Consider the following 15,179-nt stretch of genomic DNA (forward strand, 5'->3'; position numbering starts at 1 on the left):
TATCTACATAGGCATGCCACACTCTCTCTCAGAACCCCCTACTGGATAACCCTATGACCTCCCCCATGTGGGAGAGAAAAAACAGAGAAATCACAAGACAGGTGGAAATATGTAGCCATTCAAGATGCATACATAAATCTGCACAATTAGAGCAAACATCACATTATATGGCAGAGTTAGTGCAAGAAACAGGAGACAAGTGCAAAGATGCTCTAGGTGTGTCCTTCCGAGACATTTCAACTACAAAACTCTGGCAGGTAGTATAAAAGAGAAAAATCTAAAAATATTGCTTTTGGATCGAGAAATATGATTGACAAATTTTTAAATGGAGAATTAGAAGACAAGCTCAAGAGATAGTACCAGGACTCAAAGATAAATGCAAATGAGAAAGAAATAAGAAATAGCAGGCGAGGCGGGCGGATCACGAGGTCAGGAGATCGAGACCATCCTGGCTAACATGGTAAAACCCCATCTCTACTAAAAACACAAAAAATTAGCCGGGCGTGGCGGTGGGTGCCTGTAGTCCCAGCTACTCGGGAGGCTGAGGCAGGAGTATGGCATGAACCAGGGAGGAGGAACTTGCAGTGAGCTGAGATCGCACCACTACAGTCCAGCCTGGGCGACAGAGCAACACTCCGTCTCAAAAAGAAAAGAAAAAAGAAACAGCAGGCACTTATCCTGGATATAACAGTGGTTTAAAAGGAAAGAAAAGAAGAGTGGAAAAGCAATAATTAAAAGGAAAACAGAAATCTTCCTTAGGGCACATGAATAGGGACGTCTTCAAGGTAGAAAAGGATCTCTGGGAACAAAATCCTTACCCAGAAGGAACTGATACAGGCTATGCTTCAATTTCACACAAAAAGACAAAAGCCCTGTAAGTAACTAAGCACAAAATGTAAATGAGCTGGAAGCTTCTATTAAAAGACTTAGTTTGGGTCAAAAACAAAATCCAGCTTTGAGCTATTACAGAGGAACAAACCTATAATAAAATGTTCCGAAAAGCTTTAAAAATTTATGCATTTATTCATTCAACAAATAAATATTGAGTTTTTTCCATGTGCCAAATAAAGTGATGGGCAACGACTTACCAGGCAAACACAAACAAAAATAAATCAGAGACGATAATATTAATATTTAACAAGGTAGAGATTAAAGCAAAATGGTCAAAGTGAACATTTTTCTCTTGATCTTTGCCAGGTATACCGAGAGAAAAAAAGAAGATTTAACCAATATTATTAACAAAATTGAATATATATATGGTATATTTACACATATATACATACACGTATACAAACCATATACCCAAAGGTCTAATACAGTATTTGAACAAAATACATTTGAATAGTATTATTAATAAACTTGAATACACACACTCACACACATACAAACATTTCAAACCTATACTCAAAAGTCTAATATAGTAGCCACTAACCATGAGTGGCTATTTAAATTTAGATTTTAACTAATTAAAATTAAATAAAGTAAATAATCAGTTCTTCAGACCCACTAGCCATGTTTTCTGAGTCTAGTGGGTACTCCACCAGTCAGGGCGGGTATATAACATTTCTATTGTTGCAGACAGTTCTGCTGGACAGTGCTGCATACACAAGGCAGTTTTTAAAATGCTACATAGCATCTACAAAGTGTTCCTGTAATATAACATGCACAAAAGAAGGATAAACTTTTTAAAAATTTAATTGAGATTAGTAAATAAAAATCAGGATCTTAGCACAAGACGTGCTCATTGTTACTAGCGTGTCATTGTTTCTAGGACCTCTCAGCAGACAGAGCTGGGAAATACATGCACATGTACACACACATTAAATAGGCATTAATATTTATTTCTGTATCTATAGATGATGGTAGATGATAGATAGATAGATAGATAGATAGATAGATAGATAGATAGATAGATGATAGATAGATATTAAAAACCATGAGTTCATCTGCCCCTTTTGATTCCAATTCAGCACAACAAGGTACATTTCTTTTTTTTTTTTTTTTGAGACGGAGTCTCACTATTGTCACCCAGGCTGAAGAGCAGTGGTGCAATCTCGGCTCAATGATGGAACCTCCGCCTTCTTGGTTCGAGCGATTCTCCCATCTTAGCCTCTGGAGCAGTGGGACTACAGGCATGTGCCACCATGCCTGGCTAACACTGGCTACATTTCTAACCTCCTCCTCTGCATGTTTCCCCAATAGTGAGAAACCCAGTTCCCATTATCCTCAATACATGGATTCACTTGCTCATCCTAGAAGTCACAGAAGGTGGGTTCAAAATTCCAACCCATTACCATTGCAGGAAGGAAACCAACTGGAAGCAACACCAATGAGGAATCCGTATTTGTTTACCACTGGTTGGTTGGTCAGTTAGTTGGTTGGTTAATTGGTTGGTTCTGCGTAGGGCTCCTTGGAGAAATAACTGAACTGGGGCAGGGAAAATCCAAGATGACCCTGAAACAGCTTTCTGTGTCAGAAATTAAGGAAGCGCTCAAAGACTTATAAGGATTTGTCAAAAGGAGACAAGAACCAGATTGAAGGAATCTCAACTGCCAAATCTAGGACAATTTGAACATCAAAATATATCCTTAGAGGCAGAAGGATCACTTGAGGCCAGGAGTACGTATGAGACCAGGCTGGGCAACACAGCAAGACCCCATTACCACACAAAAATTTTTTTTTAATTAGCCAGGCATAGTGGAACATACCAGTAGTCCCAACTACTCAGGAGGCCGAGGTGGCAGGGTGGCTTGAATCTGAGAGTTTGAGGCTGCAGTGAGCTATGATCACACCACTGCACTCCAGCCTGGGTGATAGAGTGAGACCCTGTTTCTAAAAAAATATATTTTTAATGTAATGATGGTAATGTGTTATAACCCATTGAATAAATTAAGAGTTCATGCATCCATACTGATATAAATAAGTAATTTTTTTTTAAATTAAGTAAGTGGGGAGAAAAAGCTCTTCCCTACAGTACAATGCTCATTGATAATATAGAATGAACGCTGAGGTTATAAAACCATCAGTGTATAGTAAAACTAGTGGGTGGGAATTTGATGAAGAATATTTACACAGTGCAAAAGTATCTCTCCACAATTAATTACTAGTTACAAAGGAGAAGATAGTAACTTTACAGTGGAGGAGCCAGCTAGGCACCACCTTAACCAAGTGATCAAAGTTAGCAGCACCGATATTGGAAGAAACCAAGTTCTGTGCCTCTTCATAAGATGCACTCAGAAAGGCACGATGTCACTTGTGGGTATTCCTGTTAGAAGTGCATAAACCGAATCTATAAATGAAGAGTCATGAAATACACCCAATTGAGTAACTGTTCCAGATTAACGATGGCTAAAGAGACAGGACAACTGAATGCAACTCTTGATCCTGGACCAGATACTGCAAGGGAAAAAATAATAACTAGAAAGGACAATATTGGGACAATTGACAAAATTTGAAAATGGATTATGCTTGTTTTGAATAATGGACTGGGAGAATCTCCAAGTTTCTCTTTCCTCTGAAACAAATGGCACAGGGATTGTCCATGCCTTGATGTTTGGAAGAAATTAGCCTTAAAATTTTAATCTAGTGTCTTGTTTCGGAAGCAGTCCTTTGACAGTCTTTCCAGTTCTTCTATGTTTATTAGTAGTAGTATCTTTAGATTTTTCAATATTTCTTTTGTTGACAGTTTTGGTAATCCATATATTTCCAAGAAACTTGCAAATTTAGTTAATAGTACCATATCAATGTCAAATTTCCTGATTTGGGTAACTGAGCTGTGGTTATGTAAGAGAATGCCCTCTGTTTATTAGTAGTGGTATCTTTAGATTTTTCAATACTACTTTTGTTGACAGTTTTGGTAATGGTAATCCACATATTTCCAAGAAATGTGTAAATTTAGGAAACAGTGCCATATCAATGTCAAATTTCCTGATTTGGGTAACTGAGCTGTGGTTACATAAGCGATATACTCTCTGTTTACTAGCAGTAGTATCTCTAGATTTTTCAATATCTGTTTTCTTGACAATTTTGGTAATGCATATATTTCCAAGAAATTTGCAAATTTAGATAATAGTACCATATCAATGTTAAATTTCCTGATTTGGGTAACAGCTGTGGTTACGTAGGAGAATGCCCTCATTCTTAGGAAATAGCAATGAAGTATTTAGGGGTAAAGGGGAATGATGCTTCCAGTCTATTCTCAAATGGTTTAGAAGGAATATTAGTATACATATTAATGTATACTAAATATTAGTATGTGCATATTAATTAATATATGTACAGAAAGAAAGAGAACACAAATGGGGCAAATTTACACAATTGATGAAGGATATGTGGGAGTTCATAAACTATTCCTATAACTTTTAAGTAAGATGGAAATAATGACAATAAAAAGTTACCAAAAATTTTAAAATTATTGACAGTTTTTGATTTTTTTAAGTCGAACTACTGAATAAATTCAAGGATGAGTTTCTCAAAACAAGTCCCTGTCAAGTCTAATCAAGAAGATAAAAGAAAAAAATAATCTCTGCTGTGGCAGGATGGTGTCATCCTTATAAAAGAGTATGATAACTCCATAACAATACTTTTTAAGTAAATTCCAGACTTTATTTAGATGTCACCCACTTTTCAACTAACGTCCTTTCTCTGAACCAGAATCTTATCCAAGATGCCCCATTTCATTTAGTCACCGTGTCTCCTCAGTCTCCTCTGATCTGCGACAGTTTCTCAGTCCTGCTTTGTTTGTCATGGCCTTGGCAGTTTAGACGAATACTGGCCTGGTATTGTGAAGAATGTCCCTCAATTTCACACCTTCAGTTTTTAAAATCTGAATAAGATTTGCAAATTTCTTGGAAACATATGGGTTACCAAAACTGTCAATAAAAGAAATATTTAAAAATCTAAGGACAATAATACTACTAATAATAAACATAGAAGAACTGGAAAGACTGTCAAAGGACCGATTCCAAAAACAAGACACTAGATTAAAGTTTTAAGGGCAATTTCTTCCAAATGTCAAGGAATGAACAATCCCTGTGCCATTTGTTTCAGAGAAAAGAGAAAGTTGGAGATTCTCCCAGTCCATTGTTCAAAGCAAACATAATCTTGTCATCCAAACTTCCCAAAGATATAACAAAAAATAAAACCTATGAACTAAACTCATTTGTGAATATAGACATAAACATCCCAAATAAAATATTACAACTCAGATCCAACAAGATTAAGATTTTCTTGCCCATATGCAAAATACCTCAACATTAAAAACATCTATTAACTATAATTCATTTCATCAGAAAGTCAAAGAAGGAAAATCACAGTCATCTTGATTGATGCTGAAAGGTATGAATTCAATATCTCCTCCTGATGAAAACTCACTAAATTTAGAAGCATCTGATCTCAAAACAATACAAAATAGCTACCTCGAACCACAGACATTGTCACACATGACAGCAAAAAACCAGCATCATTTCCATTCAAGTCAGCAATGGGACAAGGGTATCTATTATCACCATTGACAATATTCAGCCTGTTCTAGGCAATTCAATATAACAAAGATAAAAAACAAAATGTGTGACTATTGGAAAGATAGGATTTTTTTTTTTTTTTTTTTTTTTTTTTGCTATTTCTCAATATGCTTGTTGACCTAGAAAACCCAAGAGAATTAACTAGAAATAAAAATTAGAAAATTCAAGAAAGCACAGTCTGGTGGCAATTTACAGAGTAAAGATAATAGATGATAGGTAGATAATAGATAGAAAGATAGATACATAGATACATAGATAGATAAGATGCTTTCCTATTTATTCACAATGGCCAGTGAAAACTAACCATAATTAATAATGCAAAATAATATCATCCACAAAACAACTGGAAATCTGAATGCACAGAATACTAAACATGAAAGGTCATAGATTCCTATTAGAAAAACCAAAAATTAACAGTCTTCAAAGAAGATCTGGGTGAATGGAAAGATATATCACATTCTGATAATACTATAGACTTTTTCAATTACTTTACAAATAAATTGCGATTTCAGTCAAAATCCTTGTAGGAGAAAAACATTCATAACATTTTTAAAAAAACAAAATAGGTATTAGAAGAGGCTTACCCTACCATATATTAAAATAAATTACAGAACCATGCTGTTAAGACAATATGGAACCCACTCAGAAAAGACAGATGTAAAAGAACATAAATAAAAATTTATCTGAGAAAAAATAATCAAAGAATATACTAAAAATATATTGAGTCCATTTATTATTAAAGAAATGTAACTCAATACAAAATAACATTTTTTGGCTTTCAAATGCACCAACAGTGGAAAAGAGTATAAAATACAATTGCTGATGAAGAAGTAGGAAACTATACACTTCCATACACTATGGATATGAGGGCAAATTTCTATAACCTTTTTGGAAAGCAACTTGGAAACATGTAAGAAAAACTTTAAAATGTGGCATAAACTTTGATTTAGGAATTTTATGTTTAAAATTAGAAGCAGTTTTGTTTTCTTGTGATGTCCTTGTCTGGCTTTGGTATCAGGGTAAAGTTGGCCTCGTTAAAAGAGTTTGGAAGTATTTTCTCCTCTTCAATTTTTTTGGAAGAGTTTTTGGAGAATTGGTATTAGTTCTTTAAATGTTGGGCAGAATTCAACCATGAAGCCATCTGGTCCTGGGCTTTTCTTTGTTGGTTGACTTTTTTATGACTGCTTCAATCTCCTCCCTCGTTATTGGTCTGATCAGATTTTTCTATTTCTTCATGATTTCAGGTCGGTGTGTTGTATGTCTCTAGGAATGTATCCATTGCTTCTAAGTTAACCAATTTTTTGGCATATAATTTTTTTTTTGGAGACAGGCTGGAGTGCAGTGTCACCCAGGCTGGAGTGCAGTGGTGCAATCATGGCTCATTGTAGCCTCAACTTCCTGGGCTCAAGCCTTGAACTACAGATGTGTGCCACCATATCCAGCTAATCATTTTTTTAATAATTTTTTTTTTTTTGTAGAGGCAGAATCTCACTGTTACCCAGGCTGGCCTTGAACTCCTGAGCTCAAATGATCCTCCCACCACAGCCTAACGAAGTGCTGGGATTACAGGCATGAATCACCATACCCAGCCAGCATATAATTATTCTAAATAGCCTCTTATGGTCCTTTGTATTTCTGTGGTGTCCCTTGTAATGTCTCCTCTTTTATTTCTGCTCTCTTTCTCTTGGTTAGTCAAGCTAAAGTTTGGTCAACCTTGTTTATCTTTTCAAAAAACTAACCCTTATTTTTATTGCTTTTGTATTGTTTTCTAGTCTCTATCTCATTTATTTCAGCTCTAATATTATTTCTTCAGCTGCTAACATTGGGCTTAGTTTGTTTTTCCTTTTCTATTTCCTTGAGGCATAACAATAAGTTGCTTATTTGCAACTCTTCTTTTTTGATGTAGGCATTTATTGTTATACACTTTCCTCTTAGAACTGCTTTGGCTGCATCCCATAAGTTTTGGTATGTTGTATTTCCCTTTTTGTTTCTTTCAAGATATTTTTAAATTTCTCTTTTAATTTCACCATTGACCCGATGGTCGTTCAGGGGCATGCTATTTAATTCCCATGTATTTGTGAATTTTCTGAAATTCCTCTTATAACCAATTTCTAGTTTTATAACACTGTGGTCAGAAAAGATACTTGACATGATTTCAACCTTCTTAAATTTGGTAAGATTTGTCTTGTGGCATAACGTCTGATCTATCCTGGAGAATGCTCTATACGCACTTGAGAAGAATGTGGATTCTGTTGCTATTGGATGAAATGCTCCATATATTTCTGTTAGATCCACTTGGTCTAAAGTGCCTTAGTAATTTTCTGTCTGGATAATTTGTCCATTATTGAAAGCGGTCTACTGAAGTCCCCTACTATTATCATATTGCAATCTATCTCTCCCTTCAGATTCTTTAATATGTGCTTTATATATTTGGGTGCTCCACCATTGATGAATGGATAAAGAAAATGTGGCATATATACATGATGGAATAGTATTCAACCTTAAAAAAAACATTCTGTCATTTGCAACAACATGGATAGAATGGCAGAACATTACATTAAGTGAAATAAGCCGAATATAGTAAGGCAAATACTGTGTGTTCTCACTTATACGTGGATTCTGAAACAATTGAACTCATAGAAGCAGAGAGTAGAATGGTGGTTACCAGAGGCTGGGGCTGTGGGGAATGGGGAGATGATAGTCACAGAGTACAAAGCCTCAGCTAGACAAGAGAAAGAGATTTGGTTTTTTATATCAATTGAACATCATGGTAAATATAGCTAATAATTGAGCTCTGCGCATTTCAATATAACTAAAAGAGTACATTTCCAATATTCTTATCATAAAAAATGTTAAATATTTGAGATGATAGATATGTTAATTAACTTAATTTACTCTTTCCACCGTGTATTCAAAAATCATAACACCACTTTGTAACCCAAGAAATACATACAACTGTAATCTGTCAATATATAACAAAAATATTTTTTTTAATAAAATAAAATTAGAAGAAACCATCCACTTGACCTCATGGAATACTATGCAATCATTTAAAATTGCATCCTTGAAAGATATACTATTAAGTGGAGAGATGAGCAGCATACATTAAGTGAAAATGCATGTTAGTGATTTTGCATAGGAGAATCCCAGGTTTATAAAGGAGCAGGCATCCAGAGAAGATGGTTAGTATAAACAGAGACTCAGAAGGACAGGCCCATCTGTTTCCCTGTAGGTGTAGTGTCTCGGTCATCAGTCAGCCATGTTGCTGTTAATCTTCCCCTCCTTACCTTCTTTTTATTTTATTTTTTTTTTTTTTGAGATGGAGTCTTGCTCTGTCACCCGGGCTGGAGTGCAGTGGCATGATCTCGGCTCACTGCCACCTCCACCACCAAGGTTTAAATGATTCTTCTGCCTCAATCTCCTTAGTAGCTGGGACCACAGGTGTGCACCACCACACCCAGCTAATTTTTGTATTTTTGTAGAGACGTGGTTTTGCCATGTTGGCCAGGCTTGTCTCAAACGCCTGACCTCAGGTGATCTGCCTGCCTCAGCCTCCCAAAGTGCTGGGATTACAGGTGTGAGCCACCACACCTGACCCCTCCTTAGCTTTATCCCTTGCATTAGAGGGTCAGCTTCTGGACGGAAGGGTTGTTATTCATTCACTCACTCATTCATTAATTCACTATGTGAGTCAGGCATGGAAGTAAACAAAGACCACCCAAATGAGAACAAGCAAAGGCTATTTATTTAGAGCTTGCTATGTCAAGAGAGTCAGCAACCATCACTCACATTTGGCAGAGACTCACAGGGAGGCAGAGAGGTGGGAAAAGTTTACAGTGGAAAAAGAGAAGGCTTCCAGTGTGCCCCGTTAGTGGGGGAAGCTGTAGGCAGCTAACTAGAAGCAGGGCATCCTATGTGATGGTTTAAGTGGGCATATTTGGCTTTCTCCATGTGAAGCTAAGTTAGAAGCAGGGACAAAAATTAGGGACACTGTCCCTAATTCAACAAGTCCCAGCCATTTAAGACCAAATGTTACAAGGGTTGTTATTTGTCATCCTGGATGGTTGCTAAAGATGGGAGTTTGACTTCTTAAATTCTTTGCTGCCGATCGTAGGTCAGAGTTCTATCTTATATATGGTCTGGTTATTGCCCGTATATTTTGTCTCTTGTAAGCACTGGGAAAAACAATGACTTAGAAAGGTACCTGAAACCCATTGCTTGCCCTCAGGGAGATTATGATCAAACAGAAAAGACATCCTATTATTTTGGAACGTCCTGGTGACTTGTTCATGTTCAACAGTAGGGCTTCTACCTGGCACTACGAAAGCACATTGGACTTGAGCTAAAAGCCACACCCCAGCACCATGGCCTGCAAGACCCCTGAGGACTTGGCTCTTACAAGCCCCTTTTATGTCATTTCTCACTACTCCTCCCCTCACTTGCACCTCTGCAGGTCGCGCTGGTGGTCCTGCCGGGGAAAAACCACCCCTTAGATGCAAGGAGTGAGGGTATTCAATGCCTACGGAGCATTTTTATCTCCATGTGCCAGCAATTCTAAGCAATGTGCATGATTTAAAAAAGAAATACTCCTTTCAAATCTATTGTTGGTTTAGGTTCTATACAACGACTCCCATTACTTTGTGTTTTAGTAATATAGATGCAAGCTTCAAATTAGCACATTTTTATTACTTACATTTTAATACACATTGATTTCTACATGGAACTTAATTCAAATAACTCCTAGTTATAGATGTGTTCCTGAGACACACACACTCAACTATACGCATTTATTTAAAGAGTAAATTTATAGCAGCTCAGAATTGCTGAAGTTCACTTTGGGCACAGTCCCTGTCCCCAAGCTGTGTGGAACTACACATCCCTGCATTTAAACAGTAGGTTCAAAACAAACAATGCTAGCACAGTGATTGCAAAGGCAAAGAAACAGAACTGAGATGACTTCAAGTCTGTCATCCCAAGTGATCGTGTGGAAGTTCATTCATGTTTAAAATTTAAAACAGAAGGAACTAAACAGTGTTACCTTTTTGTTTGATAAGCGCAAATTTTAGTTCACGCATGATTTATTGAATTTTAATAGGGTCTTCAAGATTGAAATTTGTTAGTTTCAATCGTTAATTGAAAACTAAAAGAGAATCAAAAAAGTTAAATTGTACAGCAATGGAGCCATTTAGTACTTTTTATCCTGGTGTGATGTGATCAATGAGGTTAATCAGTCACAAAAAATATTTGCAAACAACCAGAATCTCCCTTGAACAATGTCCAGTGAAGCTTCAAGCTTTAAAACTGTTCCTTGAAGATCCATGCTCAGAAATGGTGGAGAAAGTCAGGGCGCAGTGGCTCACACCTGTAATCTTGGCACTTTGGGAGGCCAAGGCAGGGGGATCACCTGAGGTCAGAAGTTCAAGATCAGCCTGGCCAACATGGTGAAACCTCGTCTCACTAAAAACACAAAAATTAGTCAGGTGTGGTGGTGAGATCCTGTGATCCCAGCTACTCAGGAGGCTGAGGTAGGAGAACCTCTTGAACCTGGGAGATGGATGTTGCAGTGAGCTAAGATCGTGCCACTGCACTCCAGCCTGGACGACAGAGCAAGACTCCATCTCAAAAAAAAAAGAAAGAAAGAAATGGTGAAGGCCATTAACAATGCAGCACACAAATACAAAAAAAAAAGAAAATGAAATAGAAAAAGAATCAAATTTTGAGAAATAGTGCAAGGAGAAACGACAAAAGACACGAGTCTAACATTGCCAGAAGAAATTGAGAGAGCAAAGCTTCAAAGCCTTGATCATTTTCACCAAAGACTGGACACATGGCCCACAGCAATGGAACTGGTCATGTCATGCTCATCATCATCCCACCGTTCTTCCTGATTTTTGTAAAAGAAGAAAAACCTTGAAAGTTTTTACTGAATAAAATAGGAATCTATGATGAATCTCTGGTGATGATATTTTAGTGGTTTTCAACTAGGGGAGATATTTTAGATGGGATTTTTATACATCTCTGCCAAAATTATCCTCACGTTTAAGACTTTCATAACCATTTGTATGTCTGTTGTTTCTTGTGAAAGAAACTCTTTGAAATTAAAACTAATAAAGAAGTATTCTTCAACCAACTATGAGTGAAGACAAGCTGACAAATCTGGCTGTTGTGAACAGTGAACATGTATAGATGAAAAAGGTTGTCAAAGCCACTGGCAAATTTGCCGAAGTCGAGGCTCAAAGTGAGAACTATGATGTCATTATTCACTGTTGCAACAGATATATGGGAATAAGTTTGTCCACATGGACGTAATTTAATAGGATTAATCTATTATGTATTTTTCTTTTTGCTATCGTAATTTTTCTTCTGGCATGATTAGATATAAAAAGTTCAATAAAAGGACTTTTTTGCTGTCTACATTTCTTTTCTGGTCATTACTACTATTACTTTCATTGCTGAATTGTTCTTGAAAATTATTCTGGCATATAGAGGAAAGAGGGTGTTGGAATAATCCCCTCTATGTCTCAAATGCACCAGGCTCACTCTGCTTCCAGTGCCTCTTGGGACACATCAAGCTCTTGTCCAACTCTAAGCCTTTGAACCTGTTATTCTCCCTGCCTGGAGCACCTTCCTTCCAGATCGTCAAGGAACTAGACTCTTCCCCCACTCAATATTACTCTCAGAGGGTGTCTCAGTCTGTTTTCTGCTGCTTTAATAGAATACCACAGACTGGGTAATTAATAAGTTTATTTATCGTGGTTCTGGAGGCTGGGAAGTTCAAGAGCATGGCTTCAGCATCTGCCAAGAACCTTTGTGCTGCATGATCACATGGCGGGAGGGCAAAGAAGCACATGAGACAGAGAAAAATGGGGGCTGAGTTTCATCCTTTGATCAGGAGCCCACTCCACAATAACTAACAAGATAACAGGATTAATCAATTCAGGATCAATCAATTCAGAATTAAGCAATTCAGGATTAATCAATTCATGAAGGCACAGCCCTCATGACCTAATCTCCTCTTAAAGGGCCCCACATCTTAATATTGTCACAATTACAATTAAATTTTGGCATAAGGCCAGGCATGGTGGCTCATACCTATAATCCCAGCACTTTGGGAGGCTGAGGCAGGAGGATGACTTCAAGCTGGGAGTTGGAGACCAGCCTGAGTAACACAGCAAGGCCCTGTCTCTACAAAAAAAAATTAAAATAAAAATTAGAAACATTAACCAGGCTATTTTTTTACAGTAGCTGCAGTCCCAGCTACTCTGGAGGCTGAGGCAAGAGGATCGTTTGACCCCAGGAAGTTGAGGCTGCAGTGAGCTATGATCGCACCACTGCACTCCAGACTGGATGACAGAGCATAGATCTTGTCTCAAAAAATCAATAAGCAAAATAAACAGATTTCAACATGAGTTTCAGAGGGGACAACCACAGCAGAGACGTTTTGCCCAGCCGTTTTCACAATGTGCCTGCTTCCCCAGTGCAAATCTCAAAGTCTTGCATGACCCTCTTTTTTACTTGCCTGTTCGTTGTCTGTGTCTTGCTACAGGCATGGAAACCCCGGGGAGGGCGGCTTGTGCCACCCTGTTTCCCCATCTCCCCACAGCACAGCACCTGGCATGCAAGAGGCCCACAGGAAATATCTGTGGCATCGACCCGTGAGCTCAGAGGAGAAGCACCTGGCCTGGAGGGGACAGGTGAGCGGGGTCGGATCTGCCAAGTGCAGGCCCCTGAGGCAAGAGCCAGAGGGAGGCGGAGGGAGGGCTTTCAGGGAATTGCAAGTGGACAGCATGTCTGGAGGACACTGTTGTGGCTTTGAAAGAACAGGGACCTTGAAATGGTCATCGTAACCCAGGGTAGACTGATGAGGGATTTTCGGAGGCTGGGCTTTTATGCCCAAGAAAATAAGGAGGTGTTTTAAGCAAGGGAGTGACATGATCTGATTTGCCCTCTGGAAATATCACTGTGGCAGGGAGAGAGAAAGGAATGGAGGGGCAAGAATGGGAAGGGAAGGGGAACATGGCGAAGGGCTGTGCTCTTTAGAGCTTCCAGAAAAGAACAGGGGCTGAGATGCAGACTAAGACGACCCCTTGCTGCTAATTTCCCCTCCACCCTGCACCCCAAGAGCTAAGATTTCTGCCAGTCCTGGGGGAAGTCCTTCGAGGAGGGGGACAGGAAAAGCAGGAGACCAGACTGCCACAACAGGCAGGGGGCAGGCGCTGGCAGGCAGCACAGATGGGTTTCTGGAAGGACACTGGTGCTGGATACAGGGGGCTCCTAACCAAGCTGCCTGTGGGGAACAGAGACTGAGAGGAGCTACAGGGGATAGGATAGAGGCAGAACTCGCATGCTTCCAGTCACTCTCCTCACTCACAGGGGAGCCCAGGGTCAGGGGAGGCCACAGGGCGGTCTCTGAGGACTGACACAAATACAGAATTTCTAGGAAAGAACCACTGAAAGATGAGTGTCCACTGATTTTCCTTTGTCAAAATCCAGTTTGGCAACGAAGCGGCTGCAAAGAGTGCCCCAGCCGGAACCCCCAGTATCCATGCCCAGTTCCCACCCTGGGGCACCCAGGTACGACTGGGGCTGGCGGATGCACAGGAACCCCCTCCTCCCCCTCCCACACTGGTGGCCAGGACCGGCCTTGTCCCCGACTCAGCTGCTGATGTGGGAACTCTCCTGGGACCCGGAGCAAGGGGCACGCTTTGAATCTTTACATGCCACAAGGAAGAAAATCAATTTCAATGCCCAAAGGAGGGAATTACTGCAGCAGAAGGTCACCAACCACTACAAGTTGTAGTATTGTCTTGGAGACTTGGACGGGGGGAAAATGCCTCCAAGTGAGGTAAGAGTGCTCTGAGGTCTGAAGCAAACCCTTCTCCCCAGGAATAATATGAGATGGTCCTGGGAGGGGGACAAGACCACACAAAGGAAGAAATTTCTTTGTGTATGTACAACTGGGGTGAGATTCTGAATTCTGGTTCTGGCCACTTAGGCAAGGCCTCAACTGTAGCTGCAGAGCTCTGACTCATGTTAAGTCTTGGAGGAATGGCTGATATTTTAACAGTATTGTCACAGTAGCAGCCACACCAGTGGCAATGGCCACTCCACTTAGGCATGGCAGACACATTCCACAGCCCAGCCTCCAGGCCCTAGAGCTCCCCAGTTAATGCCAGGTTCCCTAAGCACTGATGCAAGGATGCTAGATGTTGGATATTTATTTATGTTCCATCTGGCTCCCAAGATGAAACATAAATTAAAGCGCTGGCTCACACTTGTAATCTCAGCCCTTTGGGAGGCTGAGGCAGGAGGATGGCTTTAGGCCAGGAGTTAGAGAGCAACCTGGCCAAAAAAAATGAGAACTTTAGATGTCACTTATTCCATCTCTGCTCCATTACAGCAAAGATGGAAAGACCCTACCCATGCCCAGGTACCTTGTCTTTCCTTGGGGCCAGTGCAGCGGAGCCCAGTCAAAGCAAAGGTCAAATGACAGGTCCATTAGGCTGGACATTTACAATCCCATTTCTGGGTGTATAGACTATAAGGCAGCTGGGACCCACCTTCTTATCCAGGCAATGCAAAGATGAGCAGAGGGTCACTCAATGTCCTGGGATTCAAGAGAAAAAAGATGTTGCAGGTTCAGGGAAGCCGCTACTT

The 15,179-nt window shown here is 39.5% G+C and overlaps 1 annotated feature.

Moving 5' to 3' along the window:
* Positions 13,601 to 14,512: an enhancer, noted in NCBI's record as "H3K4me1 hESC enhancer chr19:32615176-32616087 (GRCh37/hg19 assembly coordinates)". NCBI's record gives its function as "activates a minimal SCP1, AML or CMV promoter by ChIP-STARR-seq in primed H9 embryonic stem cells {active_cell/tissue: H9 hESC(primed)}" and the evidence as "EXISTENCE:reporter gene assay evidence [ECO:0000049][PMID:30033119]".

This window comes from Homo sapiens, chromosome 19 (assembly GCF_000001405.40).
Source record: "Homo sapiens chromosome 19, GRCh38.p14 Primary Assembly".
Lineage (NCBI taxonomy): Eukaryota > Metazoa > Chordata > Mammalia > Primates > Hominidae > Homo > Homo sapiens.